This window comes from Homo sapiens, chromosome 7 (assembly GCF_000001405.40).
Source record: "Homo sapiens chromosome 7, GRCh38.p14 Primary Assembly".
In the NCBI taxonomy this organism is placed as follows: Eukaryota; Metazoa; Chordata; class Mammalia; order Primates; family Hominidae; genus Homo; species Homo sapiens.
Genome location: NC_000007.14, coordinates 21664425 through 21682850, shown reverse-complemented (window position 1 = coordinate 21682850; position 18426 = coordinate 21664425). Strand labels below are relative to the sequence as shown.

Below are 18426 nucleotides of genomic sequence, written 5' to 3'. Positions count from 1 at the left end.
TAATATATGTTTATGGTTCATATGAAAAGCATTTTCTTGCACTTTATGAAAATAATTAAAATTCACTTTGCTTTTAATAAATTGAGAAAAAAACCCAGAAAAAAACACAGAAACACTTCACAATACGTACAGGCATTCGAATTGTGAAAGGAATTGCCTTGTTTTAATACTACCAAACAAGCGTAACCCAGTAGACAAGCATACTCCTGACTTTTGTAAATAGGAATATATTTTGGAAAGAAGGATGAGAAAATTCTCCTTTCACATTAAACACTGCCAACACTTAAAGACACACAGAAATTTTTTTTTTTTTTTTTTTTTTTTTGAGATGGAGTCTCGCTCTGTCACCCAGGCTGGAGTGCAGTGGCGCCATCTCGGCTCACTGCAACCTCTGCCTCCTGGGTTCACACCATTCTCCCGCCTCAGCCTCCCAAGTAGCTGGGACTACAGGCACCCACCACCACACTTGGCTAATTTTTTGTATTTTTATTAGAGACGGGGTTTCACCATGTTAGCCAGGATGGTCTCGATCTCCTGACCTCGTGATCTGCCTGCCTTGGCCTCCCAAAGTGCTGGGATTACAGGCGTGAGCCACCATGCCCGGCCGACTTTTTAAAGATATATAAAAGAAAGGTTATTAGTATACTAAAAGAATTAGAAAATAACTTCTTACAAGACAATAATTTAGTTGTTCAAGGAAGAGACAAAGGATTACCCAAGTGACAACCTAGAATTATGACCAACACCTCTCTCTTCAAGGGGAAATGTATCAAAGGCACACAGACATGGTTTAAATCACATACACATAATCTTACTGCTATTGGCTGTGTAAGTCACAGAGTTGAGGCTCACAGGCCAATGACCAAGACGGTCACACACAGAGAGATGAACACAGTGATTTCTCACGGTTCTTCCACTGTGATAAAATTTTTTTTGATGATCTGATGTTCCTAACTTGGCAAAACCTTTTGGGATATCACTTGGAATAGGTCTCATCAGAATAATATATTGGCTAACCAAAATCAAATGCACCCAAGACAAACACAACTTTTCAGGACTAATTAAAACATACAAACTTTCAAAAAAACAACGACTTTCTTGGAACTACTCTGGCAATAAACACCACTTTCAGGAAACAATAATGAATACATAAAATTTCTACAAACAACTTGCCTTCTGAGAAATAAGTTTTGCCACCACGTCTCTGGCATGGACATCTATGGTACAAATTGTCATGATCTTCTGTCTGTCTCCAGGTGGAAGTTCTCCCAGCAAAAGTGTAATCAGTGTATTCAGCTGAGAAATCTAGAAGGAATCATTTTTTAAAAAGGAGAGAAGGGTTACAAATACAGAATTTAAGAGCCCCAAATTCTTCGTATTTGTAAAGGCTGATTTAGTTTGCAAAACAATTTCTTTTTTTTTTTGAGATGGAGTCTCACTCTGTCACCCAGGCTGGAGTGCAGTGGCATGATCTCTGCTCACTGCAACCTCTGCGTCCTGGGTTCAAGCAATTCTCCTGCCTCAGCCTCCCTAGTAGTTGGGATTACAGGTGCCCACCACCACGCCCAGCTAATTCTTATATTTTTCGTAGGGACATGATTTCACCATTTTGGTCAGGCTGGTCTCAAACTCCTGACCTTGAGTGATCTGCCTACCTCGGCCTCCCAAAATGCTGGGATTACAGGCATGAGCCACCACGCCTGGCCACAAAACAATTTCAAATATGTTACCCCAGCTGGACCTCAAAGAACCTTGGTGTAGAAATCACAATATTATTACCCCCTCACACAGATGAAGGACAAGAGAACCTGTGAGTAATGACAAAGCCAGGGAAGACACAGGGTTTCCCGGCTGCACTGGACTGACCCTCTACCCTAATGATAGCCCGGTCCATAACATTGTTGGAAAGGAAATGACTACAAATCTTGAAAGGCCAAATTAGACTAACTTTCAAAAAAGCATAGTAAAAGCTAAATGACAAATTATATTTTTCTTTAGAAAAGCATTCACCTAACAATTTGTGTTTGCTTTGGTTTTTAAAAATACAAGATAGTGATGACTACTGAAAAAATATTTAAAATTAAGAGATGAAGAATATCCTCCTTTATTCTTATTCTTGTTTAGGTCCGTCGAACTCGTAGATAAATATTTTTCAAACTGCTGGTCTTTTTTCATAGAATGGAAAGGAATAAAATGGAATGCCATGAATGACAATTCATTGAAGTGAATGGAATAGAAAATACGGTATCACAGGTAGTAAGAGAATGTATTGTTTCATGCTGTTTTATTTCCGTTTTGACTACCTACATAAACATGTGAACTTGGATCTAATAGAAAATATTTCTTATGGTGAATTGTGGTCAGAGAGGTTTGAAAGATGCTGTCTTAGGTGGTCATTTTGTTAGTATGGTTATTTACACAAAAAGATTTCTGCCTTACTCAAGCCTTATTTACAAAAACAATATTTCTGCCTTATTCCAGGTATCATACTGTGAAACAATACCATCCCCTTTTCTCTTCAGCTCTGCAAAAGGACAGTCAATGACAAACTGCTAGCACCTAAGAAAGCTGGTGGTAAGTGAATATGACAGATCACCAGAGACTCAAACCTTTGTAGCCTACTGTCAAAATACAGGTCCACTACTGTACTATTATCATGCCCCGGAAAATGCGAAACCCTGCAAACTTCCCTGAGATTGCCGTGCGGCTGGAGGCTAGAGAAAGTCATACAGCTGGAATAAGAAGGGAGAAGAAAGGGAGGAAGAGATAACTGTAACATGTGCAATTTCCATGAAATAAGAACAAAGAAGGTTCCAGGCACTGACTAAGCACGTTGCTGATCTCATTGCACTTAATCTTAAAATGCTAAATGACGAGTGAATGGGTGCAGCACACCAACATGGCATATGTATACATATGTAACAAACCTGCATGTTGTGCACATGTACCCTAAAACTTAAAGTATAATAATAATAAAATTTTTTAAAAAAGAAAGATAATCTGTATCCGAACTTTGCAGATGAGAAAATTGAGTCAAAGCCCTATTAACCACATTTGCCAATCCAGGGAGGAGAAATTCAAATCCCAACAGTCTGACTTCAGATTCATCACAAAGACCCTCTCCAGCCTCCACAAGACCTACCCATCCCTTCAGGTCTGAGAAACTGTAGCTGTGCAAGAAGCATTCAGGACAGACTTAGAGTCAAACACAAAGGAAAGCTGGCTTAAAGAAATAAAAATATTAATATATGTCCCCTAGATATTCAGGATACACGACAGCTTTATAAGCATTTGCCCTATTTCTCCACCCCCTGGGCTTTATTGAGGTATGACTGGAAAACAAAAATTGTATACGTTTAAGGTATACAACGTGATATTTTGATGTAGGTATACATTGTGAAACTATTACCCCAACCAAGCTAACTGACATATCCATCAGCTCACACATCTTTTAAGTGAAAATACTTGATATTTACTCTCTTAGCAAATTTCAAGTATACACTACGTTATTATTAATTATAGGTGCCATATGTTAAATTAGATCTCTAGAACTTATTCATGCTATAACTGAAAGTTTGTACCCTTTGACCAATATCTTCTGTTTTCCCCCATCCCTATCCTCTGGTAACCACCATTGTACCGTTACTATGTGTTAGACTTTTTTTTTTTAATCCACTTATAAGTGAGATTATGCAGTATTTGTCTTTCTGTGTTTAGCTTATTTCACATAGAATAATGCCCTTCAGATTCATCCAGGTTGTCACAAATGGTAAGATTCCTTCTTTGTAAAGGCTAAATCATATTCCTCTGTGTGTGTGTGCATGGGCATGAGTGTCTACACATTTTCTTTATCCATCTATTAATGAATACTTGGGTTTTTTCTACATCTTGGCTATTGTGAATAAAGCTGCAATGAACACGGGAGTGCACATATCTTGTCAAGACAGTGATTTTATTTCCTTTACCTATATACCCAGAAGTGAGATTGCTGGATCATTTGGTAGTCCTATTTTTAATATTTTGAGGAATGTTCATAATGTTTTCCATAATGGCTATACTACTTCCTACCAACCACCAAGGAGGTCAAAGATCCATACACTGAAAACTACAAAACTCCAAGGAAAAAAATTAAAGACACAAATAAATGGAATGATCCTATGCCCTTGGATTAGAATAATTTATATTTGTTAAAATCTCTGTACTGCCCAGAGTTCTCTGTAGACTTAATTCAACTGCATCAAGATTTTGATGCCATTTTTTTTTTTGCAGATGTAGAAAAAACAATCTTAAAATTTGTATGGAATCACCAAGGACCCTGAATAGCCAAAGCAATCTTAAGCAAGAAAAACAAAGCTGGAGGCATCACATCTCTTGATTTCAAATTATATTACAAAGCTATAGTAATCAAAACAGTGTGGTACTGGCATACAAAAAGGCACATAGACCAGTGGAACAGAATAGAGAGTTAAAAAATAAATTTTTCAACTGATTTTCAGCATAGGCACCAAAAACAGTGAAGAAAGAAGACTCTTACATTAATGGTGTTGGAAAAAACTGGACATCACATGCAAAAGAACGAAATTGGACCCTTACACTATACACACACAAAAAAAACTCAAAATGAATCAAAGACTTAAAGATAAGACCTGAAACTGTAAAATTCCTTAAAAAAAAAAAAGTGGGAAAAGCTTCATGACTTTGGTCTTGACAATGATTTTTTGGACTTGACACCAAAAACATAGACAACAAAATAAAAAATAAACAAGTGAACTATATCAAACTAAAAAGTTTCTGTACATCAACAGAAAAAAATCAACAAAATAAAAAGGTAGCCTATGGAATGGAAGAAAATATTTACAAACAATATATCTGATAAGGAATTAATATCTAAAATATATAAGGAACTCATACAACTCAACGGCAACAAATAGGCTGATTAGCAATGGGCAAAGGACCAGAATAGACATTTTCCCAAAGAAAACATACAAATGTCTAACTAGTATATGAAAAGATGCTCAAAATCACTAATCATTAGAGAAATCAAAACCACAATGAGCTATCACCTCACACCCATTACACTGGCTATAATAAAAAAGTCAAAAGATCTTGTTGGCAATGATGTACCTTAACCTACTACAAGAGTGACATCAAAGATCACTGATCACAGGCTGGCCGTGATGGCTCATGCCTGTAATCTCAGCACTTTGGGAGGCCCAGGCAGGTGGATCACTTGAGGTCAGGAGTTAAAGACCAGCCTGGCCAATGGGGTGAAACCCCATCTCTACTAAAAATACAAAAAATATCAGCCAGGCATAGTGACGTGTACCTGTAATCCCAGCTACACGGGAGGCTGAGGCAGGAGAATCGCTTGACTCTGAGATGTATAGGCTGCAGTGAGCTGAGATCACACCACTGCACTCCAGCCTGGGTGACAGAGTGAGATTCTGTCTCAAAAAATAAAAAAAGATTACTGATCACAGATCACTATGATAGATACAATAATAAAAAAATTAAATATTCCAAGAATTATGAAAATGTGACAAAAAGACACAAAGCAAGCTCATGTTGTTTGAATGATGATGTCAATGCCCAGCATAGATAGGGTTGCCACAGATCTTTAATTTGTTTAAAAAAAAAAAAAAAAAAAGGCAGTATCTGCAAAGCACAGTAAAGTGAATCACAGTAAAATGAGATACACCTGTACTTTTAATACATTGCATCTTTAAAAAGTAGTTAAATGTTTAAAAAGCAGATGTGATTATTGTTTTATGTCTAATATGTTCACTGCTCATCATCCCCTAGATTTTATGTTCCACAAAGGCAACGACAGCATCCATCTTATTCGATGCCTTTTCCCAGAGCCACTGAAGAACTGTCAGAGTGTGGGTGCTCAATGGGTGTATGCTGAACAGATGAATTAATGTACAATAACAACCCATACCTATGCAAGTTTCTAGGGAAAATTAATATACACTTTAGTGAGAAAAGAGATATTTAGGCCTTGGATATTTTCTCATCTGGGTCAAGATATCCGGTCTTTGCAGTATCCAATCTTACACCACTACCAGTATTTGGTTTAAAATAAAGTTGATTGTAACAACAGTAATAATATCATATGCCTTATAAGAACATGTATAATTGTAAGTGCATTCACACGCATTGTCTTGCCTGAGCCTCCCAACAACCTGTGATTTCTGCATTATTGATTCATTTTTCACAGAAGTGCAGTCAAATGGAAGATGATTAAAAACACAGCTTGTCAACATAATCTGCACAGCATCATATGCTGGGGATCTTATACTGTGTATCAAGATTAAACCTTCTCTGATGATACTCTTTTGTAAGTAATAAAATTCTGTACCCACAGTTATATAATGTAGTTATAAAATGTCTATTATTTGGGCAGTGGCAAGAGATAGCAATCATTATGGTCAGTACTGTACTTGTATATAAGTTTATGGTCTGTGACATAGAAAACACTCCTTAGCAGCTTTAAGAAAATATATCCTATCATGTAATCAGTACATATTCTTGCCACTGATCGCAACAGTGTTACATGATTTTCTACTGGATCAAGGGTGTCTTGGCTCAAGTCTACCTACGCCCCTTTGAAACTCAAGTGGCTATTTTCCTGGGACATCTTGGCTTCATTAGAGTGCAAGTACAGCATGTATCTTGAACTAGAAATAAGCCCAACTTAGAGTAAAATCCAAACTTTTGTTCCTGGAGCACAAAGTCTTCCATGACCTCACACCACTCCTTTCCTATCTCACTTCACTAACCATGCTGGCCTTCTCTCTGTTCTCCTATCACAGCTGTTTTAAGGCCACAGCAACCACTTCATGTTCCGGGAGTCATCTTCCCTCTAATCCTTGTATGACTGGCTTCCTCTCATTATTCAAAGCTGTACTTCAAATTTACCTCCTCAAATTGGCCTTCCCTGGCCATTCTATTTACTATTACCCCCTATCTATTTATTCTAAATGTTTCTATTTTATTATCTTTATGGAACTTATGAGTATCCTATCAATCATGTATTTCTTTGTCTCCTCCACCCTAAACTCTAAAGGAGCAAGGCCCACATCTGTCTCATTCTGTGTTATGTTCTCATGCTTAGCATAGCGGCCAGCATAAAGCATGTGTCCAAATCAACACTCGCTGTAGGAACTGATGAAGAAATGAACAAACGAACGACAGCAACAATACACACCAAAACAACAGTTTTTTGTTCTCTCATTCACTCACTCATACAAGATGACAAATGTGGTTCTTGTTTCCAGACCTTACAGGACAAGAAGGAATGCAGATAAATAATTAAAATTGTTTTGCTAGGGCAAGTAGAAAGTATGCTGACAGCACACAGAAATAAGGCCTTGCCTGATATAGGGATTAGAAAGGCACTTTAGAGGAATGTATACTAAGACCTAAAGAATGAGCAGGATTTAGGTTGACAAGAATTTAGGGGTTGGCCAGCAGGGAGGCAGTCGTTATGCCACAGGAAGCAGCCTGTGTAAAGGCCCTGAATGGATCGGGTGGCTCTGTGGAAAAACTGAAAGAGGTCACCCATGGCAGGAGTGGGCGGCATAGGAAGGAGGGGTGTGTAAGGATGCTGCAGAGGAAGGCAAGTGCCCAAGCATGCAGGGCTTGCCCAGCTCAGTTAGGACAATGAGATGGTGCTGAAAGGTCTAGAAAGTGGGGTGATAATGAGATTTGTGTTATTAAATTATTTCTCTGGCTATACTGTAAAGAATGAATTGGAGGAAGGTAAGACTGGAAGAAAAGACCTGTGAGGAGGATGCTACAGTCATTTAGATGAAAGAGAGTGGCTTGGTCTAGGACATTATCAAAGCAGTTGGAGAAGGCAGTGAGAATAGGGATCTTCAGAACAGTGACAGAATTGGTGGTTGATTGGCTATTGAGGAAAAGAAGAGTCAAGCGGGCTTCTAGTGTGAGCAACTAGTGAAGTATGTTGGTTTTTTGTTCTTTTTTTTTTCTGCAGTTGGGCACGTTGGGAGGCAAGTTTGAGAAGAGCTAATGTGCACTGGATCTTTTAGATTGGGTGTGCGTGTGAGACTTCAGTGAAAATTCCCTATCTGCTTCTGGCTGTGCTTCAGGAGAGAGATGTAGACTGGAGCAAAGGAAACTGAGCAGCCATAAAAGTGGATGAAATCAGTCAGGGATGTGTGAAAAAAGAAAAGAGGAAAAGAAAAGGGAAGGAAAAAGAAAGATCGTGGCAGGCCGAGGCAGATGGATCACTTGAGGCTAGGAGTTACAGGCCTGGTCAACATGGCGAAACCCTGTATCTACTAAAACTACAAAAACATTAGCCAGGCATGGTGGTGCACACTTGTAACCCCAGTTACTTGGGAGGCTGAGGCATGGGAATTGTTTGAAGCTGGGAGGCAGAAGTTGCAGTGAGCCAAGATCACACCACTGCACTCCAGCCTGGGTGACAGAGCGAGACCCTGTTTCAAACAAAACAAAACACAAAAACAGACCAGGCGCAGTGGCTCACATCTGTAATCCCAGAACTTTGGGAGGCCAGGGTGGGTGGATCACCTGAGATCAGGAGTTCAAGACCAGTCTGGCCAAGATGGTGAAGCCTCGTCTGTACTAAAAATACAAAAATTAGCTGGGCATGATCACGCCTATAACTCCAGGTACTTGGGAGGCTGAGGCAGAAGAATTGCTTGAACCCAGGAGGCAGAGGTTGCAGTGAGCCGAGATAGTGCCACTGCATTCCAGCCTGGGCGACAGGGTGAAACTCCATGAAAAACAAAACAAAACTCACACACACACACACACACACACACACACACACAAAACAAAACAGAATAGAGCCATAAGGAACAGGAATATTTAAGGAGCAGGAGGAAGACCAGCCAGGTGAAGTAAACAGCAGCCCAAGTTTTCTAGGTAGAAAACTAGAATTCAAAAAAAAAACATGAATATAAAGGAACAGAGTATGTGAAGAAGTAGGAAGTATTTTCTAAGTTAAAGAAAACAGAAATAGACTCAATCAAGTGGTAGAAATAGGTTGTGGTGATGAGAAAAAGGAAAGAGCAAGTATAGGTCAGCAAGCTTGATTATAATAAAACAAAGATAAGGCAGGAAACAAAAGATGTGGCATGAGTGGACAATTTTTGGTTATTATTTTGTTTTGAGTAATGAGGGAGTTGGGCATGTTTAATTACTGATGGGAATGAGCAAGAGCGAGAAACCGAAGAAACAGGAGGAAAGAAAGTCAGGGCAGCCTTGAGAGAGGTCAGAGCAGAAGGGACCCAGAGCAGAGATGGAGAAATGCTCTGGGCAGTGGAGATCACCCTTCCCTCCTAGCTGGAGGATGCTGTGGGGGGAGGGACATCAGCCTGATGGCCATTGCTCTAGTTCCTCTTTGATGATGTCGGCAGATAATAAAAGCACTGACTGACAGGCATTGTATGGGTACATGTGTACTGTGTATGTGTTTTCTAATTTAATCATCACAACTCTACGAAGTAGGCACGATTAGTATTCCAGTTTTACATATGAGAATATAAGATTACCTGCCTGAGATCACACAGTTATAAACGGTGGAGCCAGGGTCTAGTACACAATTCTAAGATCTCACTGTATATTTTACAAATACTAAACCTTCTTATGTGGATAACAGGGTATCAGACCAGGCAAGAGCTGGCCTCCAATGATTGTGGTAAGTAGAGAGAGATAACTCAGTATACCCCACTTATGAATTCTCTTATTTATATAAACATAGAAATGCTTCCTAACAAAAAGACAAGATCTTACACCTTCTATGTCACACACCGTGAAAAAAAGAAAAAGGAAAAGACACAATCTTGACCACCATTGGGGTGTATAGGATACACATATCTAAAGGACTACAGTGTTCCCAAAGAGGGCCAGCGAGCTTGGTAGGATGACAGTGGGTTCACCATGTAGGACAATGTCAGACCTAGAAAGTAACAGACTTAAGGTCAGAGAGAAGCAGTGGTTCCTGATACATAGTGGTGGCTGGTCCCCCATTTTTTCCTGTCCTGGCTCCCATGGCAGCATGGTAGAAAGAGGCCATACCGTGAATTTAAAGAGTGTGTCCCTAAATACTATAGGTTTAAATAAGGCAACAAAGAAAAAAAATCTTCCTTGCAGCAGAAGCATTGCAGTTTTACCAGCATCAGCCATGGCATATCTCCCAATATGGGGACACCCAAGCCATGGTGGCAAAGAAGCTGGAAGAGGCCACTCTGCAGAAAAGTTGAGATCTGGAGGTCAGATTTGGTGGCTCATGCCTGTAACCCCAGTGCTTCTGGAGGCCAAGGAGCGAGAATGGCCTGAGGCCAGGAGTTTGAGACCAGCCTAGGCAACACAGCAAGACCCCATCTCTACAAAAAAATGTAAAACTTAGCCAGACATGGTGTTAAGCCTCTGTAGTCCTACCTACTTGGGAGGCTGAGGCAGGAGGACTGTTTGAGCCCGTAAGTTTGAGGCTGCAGTGAGCTATGATCACGTTACTGCACTCTAGCCTGGACAATAGAGCGAGACACACTCTCTTAGAAAAGTAGTCTGGAGCTAGAAGTCCTCAGCTTAGCAGATCAAAGTGAACATTACAATGTAATTGCTATAGCACCTTGGAGATCAGCTACCAGGATCCTGGATCCCTTTCTAACAAGACATAATACTGAAGTTCCTCTTGTTTCATAACAGCAACGAGGACCTCTCATCTTGAAACCCACCAGTTTCACCTTCAGCAATATCAGAAACAATGAATTTTCATTTCCGCCAGCCAGAGCAAAGGAAATGACAAAGAGACCAAGTCCCATGCTCTTAAAACTATCAGAACATGGGTTGTTGAATCTCAGTTTGTTGTCCTCTTTTCAGTGTTCACTTCCTACTTCTCCTTTAATCCTACTGCTAAAACCACCAGTGCAATATTGAGCAACGAATGTCAGATATAGTGAGCATCATTACCTGATTCTTGACACTAATGGAAATGATTCTAATGTTTCACCATTAAGTATGATTTTCTCTGCAGGTTTCTGGTAGATATTTTTTAAGTTATAAAAGTTCCTTTAAATGCTTATATTAGAAAAGAAAAAGGTATAAAGTCAATAAACGCCCACTGTAAGAAACTTGAAAAAGAGGAACAAATTAAGCTCAAAGTAAGTAGAAGAAAGGAAATAATCAAAATAAGGGCAGAGATAAGTGAAATATAAAACAAGCTATAGAGAAAACCAATAACGTCAAAGATTAGTTCTTTGAAAACAGAAATAAAATTGATAAACACCTAGAAAACCCAATTAAGAAAAAAAAGAGAAAAAAAATAAATTACGAACCCCAGAAATGAAAGTAGGACATCTGGGCAGATCTTCCAGATGTTCTGAGGATAATACTGAAATAGCATGACCAACTTACATCAGTAAATTGAAAAGCATAGGCCAAGTGTGGCCCTTTTCCTGAAAAGGAACAGATAGTAAATATTTTTGGATTTGTAGGCCATGCAGTCTCTGTCACAGCCACTCCACTCTGCCATCGTGATGTGAAAATAGCCACAGACAATAGACACTGGGCCAGATTTGGCCAGAGGTTTGTAATTTGCCACATGCTGAATTACTTAAAATGGGCAAATATCTTGAAAAATACAAACTTCCAAAACTGACACAAGAAAGGAAGAGCCCAAAAAACTAAACAGCTGCATATGTATAAAAGAAATCAATTTACAATAAAAAATGTTCTATAAAGAAAACTTCAAGCCCAGATGCATCACCAGTGATGTCTAACATAAGCTCTTTCACAAAATAGATATAAATGGATCACTTTCCAACTCCTTCTAAGGAGTATACCCTGATTTCAAAATCTGGCAAAGATATCATAGAAAAAGAAAATTACAGACAAATGTACCTGATAAACATAAATGTAGAATTTGTTAACAAAATAATAGCAAATAGAATCCAGCCAAAAATACACACACACACACACACACACACACGTACACACTTAAAGGATAATTCATAACCAATTGTTTATTATTCAGGAATGCAAAGTTGGCGTAACTTTCGAAAATTCACCACAATAACAGAATGGCATGGTCATCTCATGAGATTGGAGAAAGCTCAATGCTGATTTAAGATGCAAACTCTCTGCATGTGGTAATGGAAAGGATTTTCCTCTATCTGATAAGGGGCATCTCCAAGAAACATTCAACTAACATTATATTTACTGGAGAAACATTACTCTTACCAAAGAATGTAAATGGACAAGGATGTCTCACTACCTCTATTCAACACTGTGCTGGAGGCCCAACCAATTCAATAGCTCAAAAAAAGGAAATAAAGAACAAAAAGAAAAAGAATGGAAGAGAAGAAAACTGTCATTACTTACAGATGATGTATTTCTGTACACAGGAAGCCCTGTAGAGTATATATTTATTTAAAAACTACTAAATGTACTAAGTAAATTTAGCAAAGCCCCAAGATAAAAGGTGAATATTTAAAAATCAATAAATTTCTATGTACCAGCCAAAAACACTGGGAAATGAAATTTAAAAATTATTATATAAAATAGAATAAAAAACACATCAACCATCTAAAAATAAATCTAATGAGAAATGTGCAAGGCTTCTACATTGAAAACTACAGAAAACATTGCTGAGAGAAATTAGAGAAAACCCATATAAAGAGATACACCATGTTCTTGGGTTATAAGAACCATAATTATTGAGATGTTCATTCTTCCAAAATTTATATTTAGAGGCTGCCCCAGTCGCAATTTAATTAGGCTAAAATTAATTAGGTTTGTACAAATAAACAATGTGATGTAAGAGTTGTATAAAAAAGAACTTCAAACAGTCAAAACAATCTTGGGGAAAATAATGAACAAAGTTGGAAGGTATATATAAAATGACTTTAAGGATTACTACAAAGCTATGGTAATTAAGAAAGATGGATTTGGCATGAAGGCAGAAAAATAGATCAATGAAACAAGAGAATCTGAAAATAGACCCACATACGTATATAGTCAGTTGACTTTCAACCAAGGTACCACATTAATTCAATAGAGAAAGGAAAGAGGTATGGATTGCAGACCTAATGGGAAAAACCCAGAACCATGAAGCACCTTGAGAGAAACAGAAATATATTTTCATGACTTTTGGACAGGCAATAACATCTATCTCTCATACACACACACACACACACACAAAAAGAAAAACATTTTTAAAAAGACACAAAAAGCACTAGCCATGAAAAAAAAATGTGATACACTACACTGCATCAAAATTATAACTTTCTGATAAAATATGCCATTAAGAAAATGAGTAGTCCATTTTCGAACAAAAAACTTGTATCCCAAATAAATAAAGAAATCCTACAATCAACAATTAAAAAAGACCAGGCTCAGTGGCTCACACCTTTAATCCCAACACTTTGGGAGGCCGAGGCAGGAGGATCATTTGAGGTCAGGAGCTCAAGAGAACCTGGGAAACATAGCAAGACCTACAAAAAGAATTTTTAAAATGTTTAAACTGAGCACGGTGGTGCTTGCCTCTAGTCCTTGCTACAAAAGAGGCTGAGGCAGGAGAATCGCTCGAGCCCAGGAGTTTGAGGCTGCAGATTGTGCCACTGCACTCCAGCCTGGTTGACAGAGTGAGACCCTGTCTTAAAAATATATAAGGCAAATCACCCAACTGTTTGAAAATGGAGCAAAAGATCAAAAGATTTTAATAGATACTTCACAATAGAGGATGTACGAATGCTAATTACCCCATAAGAAGTTGCTCAACATCTTTAGACATTAGAAAAATGCCAGTTAAAATCACAATGATATACTATTTTATATCCACTGAAATGGCTGCAATTATAAGACTGACAATACAAATATGAGCGAGTATATAAAGCAACTGAAATTCGGTTACATTGTCCATGGTAGTATTAACAATAGAGAACTGTTTGACTGTTTCTTAAATGGTTAAACGTACACTTTCTCTGTGATCCAGCAATTTCACTTTTAGGCTTCTACCCAGGAGAAATGAAAATATATGTTCACAAAAAGACTTAATCCAGTAATGTTTAAAGCAGCCTTAGAAATAATAGTCTCAAACTGGAAACCCAAATGTCAAGTAACAAGATGAGTAGAAAAATTGTGGTACACGTATACAATGTATTATTAGTAAGCAATAACAAATAATGAACAGCAAATACATGCAACGACAGAGATGAATCTCAAAAATATGTTCGTTGAAAAATGTGAGGGGTCTGAAATTTTATCCTACTTGCTGGCTAACAAGTCATGGATGCTGGCAGAAGACATGAGACTCACAGGTCAGAGATAAAGGACAGTTTATTACAGCAATACCATGAGTAATATTAGAACATTAGCACTGAGTACAAACTTTCAAAGGATATTCAAAGAGGGCTAGCACATGCAATGAGCTGTGTTACAAGAGAAACATTCTGGATTTAGGGAGTGCAAATCTTTTATAAGACAGCATGTCTGACATTTGCCCTAGGAAGAGATATTATTTTTATTATACTAAAAAATAAGTCAACATGCCCTTTGCTCTGGAGAGAGATACTATCTCTATTTTCAAGAATGTTCACTATAAAAATATATCTGGAACAAAGGGCAGTCATTACCTCTGTTCATAAGATGTATATAAATGTAAGACCCATAAGGACTGGCTCCCAGTGTTAAGTAAAAAATCCACACAAAAAAGAAGATATGCTAACTTAGGAGATTTGCTGAAAGAATTTTCTTTTGTATTTTATCTTTGTGTGGTTTTTCTATCAAGTATATTAGAACTTTATAGAAAGAGTGGAAAATCCTTACATCTCTGTTTATATTCCAGAACAGTTGATGTAACATGGTGTTTACCTTTCCCATGATAAAATCATTGAAACAGGGTCCTATTTAGGAAGGAGTGCCCATCTTTGACTACCATGATTACAATTTCAATTATTTCCATCGTTAATGGTCTACTTGAGTTTTCTAAATTATTTTGATTCAATTCTAGAAAAAGTATTCATAGAGAAACATCCATTTATTTTAGATTTTGACTTAATTATTAGCAAAAAAAATCACATACGTACACAGTCATTTTAAAATCTCTTACAGGGATTATGTTTTTTCCCTATCCCTTTATTGTATGTTTTTGATTCCTTCTCTAAACTGCAAAATTTGTCAGTATTATTGGTCTGTTCAAAGAACCAACTCTCATGTTAATGGATCATATTGAAATCCAATGGCATATATGGGTGACAAATCCTTTTTTCTCTTACCTCCATCTCTCATTGTGGGGATCTTCAGTTACTTCAGGATTTGTTCTGCTTCTTTCTCTAAAGCAGAGGTGGTAAACTATAGGCCATGAACCAAATTTGGCCCACCACCTGTTTTTATAAACACCATTTTATTACAACCCAACTATTCACTTACAAATTATGAATTGCTTCTTTGCAACCACTACAATAGAGATGCGTGCATGCAGAAGAGACTATATGGCCCACAAAGACAAAATAATTACTACCTGATTCTTCCCAGAAAAAGTAGGCCAACTCCTGCTCTTCAGTCAAGACATATTTATGACAGAAGCCCTCTATAAATGGCTCACTTTGCTTGCAAAGCATTTCTCAGGGCTTTGTACTGGGGACAAACACCTCCACTAATAGCCTCTTGGGATATACAGGGGAGAGAAGCTGCTACAGTTATCCATTTCTTCTAGATTTAATCCTTATCACTAACCATAAACTCCACATTTTTTATATTTGCTTAAGGTGAGTTCATAATTTATCTGAAATTTTGCTGGGTGAAAATTGGCTTACCATTGCAATAGCTTCCTCTTTTTATAGGTTTGGACTGATTTTCTCTGTTCTTAGTCAGCTATCAATTCAATTTCATGTGTTCCTAGCATTCCTCAAATCATCTGTTCCTGTATTTCTAGGAACACTATGTTTTTTTTCATATACCTTACCTGTCATTCAATGTAACCTTTGATGAGAGGGGAGGTAGAGAGTATGTGCTCTACTCATGATCTTGTGAGTTACTGCTAGATTATAAAGTATAAGGCTATCAGATCACATTGTTATATAAAGGCCAAAAAAAAAAAATACTTGTGTCCAATATACACTTGGTAGCTCCAGGCTTGACAGGCTTCTCTATTCAGGTAATAGGGCTGAAACAAGATAAGAATGCTACCAATATTGTATCCAAATTTTTTAAAAGACTTCCTTAGCAACTAAAAGTGAGGCCAAAAATTGGCTTTCAGCAGCAAAATGAGGGTCTCTTTCTTATATGTATACTGGTATTTCTGAGTCTTTGTTGAGAGGGAGAGGATGGTTAATGAGAAAAGTTTTATATTATTTATCATGAGTTCTTAACAAAAGTCTCTGGGTAATGTCCCTGCACACTACAGATATTAATTTTTTAAAGTTTAAAACACTTCTATCTCTCTTTTGATGATTTTCACACAGCTCAATAATAAAAGAGGAGTGGAGAAACTTTCCTACCATATCCCAAGCCTCCAAAACAAAACACTTTCACCAAGGAACCTTCAAATCTGGGAAATTAAATTTATCATACTTGCCACTTTTTTCAAAGACTCTGACAAGGCAGCGATATATATTCAAAATGCAGTATTTTTGCCTTTAATCCCAATACTAATATGCAATCACCATAGATCCAAGGGGGAAATAGAGTTTAAAATTATTACCTTGGTTTATTTATCTCACTACAATTTGGGATAACCAAGGAAAGGAATTACTGAAAGGAATTACTTATAATCATCAATTATACACAACTCTGATACCAGTTTTAAAATTAAGCTATTTTAAATGACTAAAGCTCATTTAAAAAACTGCTTACAGTATTAGTAAGAATAATTTTAATTAAAAGCACACTCCAGCAGATGGTTACATCCATTTTGAAAGGAAGAAAACTAAAAAGGTTTCAACTTAGATGCAAACATTTCTCATGACCCAAACCACAGCTTAGCAGAATTCAAATGTTAGCTTCTGTAATATACATGTTAGTGCCAGTCACAAAACTGAAACACTGTAGTAAAAGCATCTGCTTGTCTGGTCTGTCAAACATTTCAATTCATGCTAGAAGTGTTTTATAATTATGTGGATAAATGCTTTCTTCACAAATCATCCCTTTTCTCTATTTCTCATCCAACATGAAAAAAGAAGCACTATTTAACTCTAGAACAAAGTGGAAAACTTTTAAAAGATTTTAAGAGAAGAACACTAAATTCCATTAATTAGTTGAACCAGCCAAAGCTACTGGGATATGAATAATTTTATAAGAATGAGAACAAAAAAAAGAACCAGCCCAATGTTGTTGACAGGGGAAGGAGTGGACACTTCTTATACACTGATATTGGGAAGGTAAATTTGGCACTATCTTGCAAAGGCTTTGATCTAGCAATTTTACATCTGGAAATTTATCCTGAATAAATAAAAATACATGTAACATGTCTATACAAGGCTGTTCCTTGCAGTATTATTAACGATAACCAAAAATGGAAAAGCAACCCAACTAGCCAGTATTACCAACAATAATCATCATAATAATAGGTGGTCTTGCAATATATTAAATGAACATGGACAATTTCTTTATTAACACAGAAATATGAAATAAAACAGAACATATCTAAATACAAAGTACATAGCCAAACATGAGAAAGGTAGAAAGGGGGAGAGGTCAATAGCGGAGTGAGAGAGAGGGAGTGAAAGGCACTGAGAGGGAGGAAGGGGAAGAGAGAGTGAGAGAGAGAGAGAGAGATAAAGAAAGAGAGGAGACTGATCCCTTCCTGACAACAAGAATGAGCCTCAAAGCAGAGAGGTATGATGAGGTCGATAAGCGAATGCCATGGCAGCTCAAAGAATTTGGACAGAGAGCCAAACATCTGGAGCTGAGGTTTAAATTGCCACATGGGGACAGAAATGTTCCCATTTCAGTTGTGCCTCTCATACTCCCTCAAGCAAGGCAGAAAGTTGGGACTGAGATGTTGAACATAAAGCTGAGATACTGAAGCATCCAAATTAACCCTGCTAATGTGATCAGAAAATCCTAAACTGAGTAATTGCAAAATTAATCTACAACTGGCCGAGGCAGTGGCTCACACCTGTAATTCCAGCACTTTGAGAGACTGGAGTGGGAGGATTGCTTCAAGCCTGGAGTTCAAAACCAGCCTGCTCAACATAGTTAGACCACCTCTCCATAAGAAAAAAACAAAAATTAGTCAGCTGTGGTAGTATGCACCTGTGGTCCTAGCTACTCAGGAACATGAGGCGGGAGGTTTGCTTGAGCCCAGGAGTTTGAGGCTGCAGTGAGCCATGATTTCTTCACTGAACTCCAGCCCAGGAAAAAGAGCAAGACTGTCTCAATCATAATCACAATCATCACCCAGAACTTAGAAGATCTATAGAAACCTGAAAG

General features: G+C 37.7%; 1 protein-coding gene across 1 annotated transcript in view; it reads right to left on the bottom strand.

Annotated features, from left to right (window-relative positions):
- Positions 1-18426, bottom strand: part of DNAH11 (dynein axonemal heavy chain 11) — a 358801-nt gene that overhangs the window by 218989 nt on the left and 121386 nt on the right. Inside the window, exon 31 of the mRNA NM_001277115.2 lies at positions 1174-1305. Coding sequence (NP_001264044.1) covers positions 1174-1305 — 132 coding nt within the window. The remainder of the gene's footprint in view (positions 1-1173; positions 1306-18426) is intronic.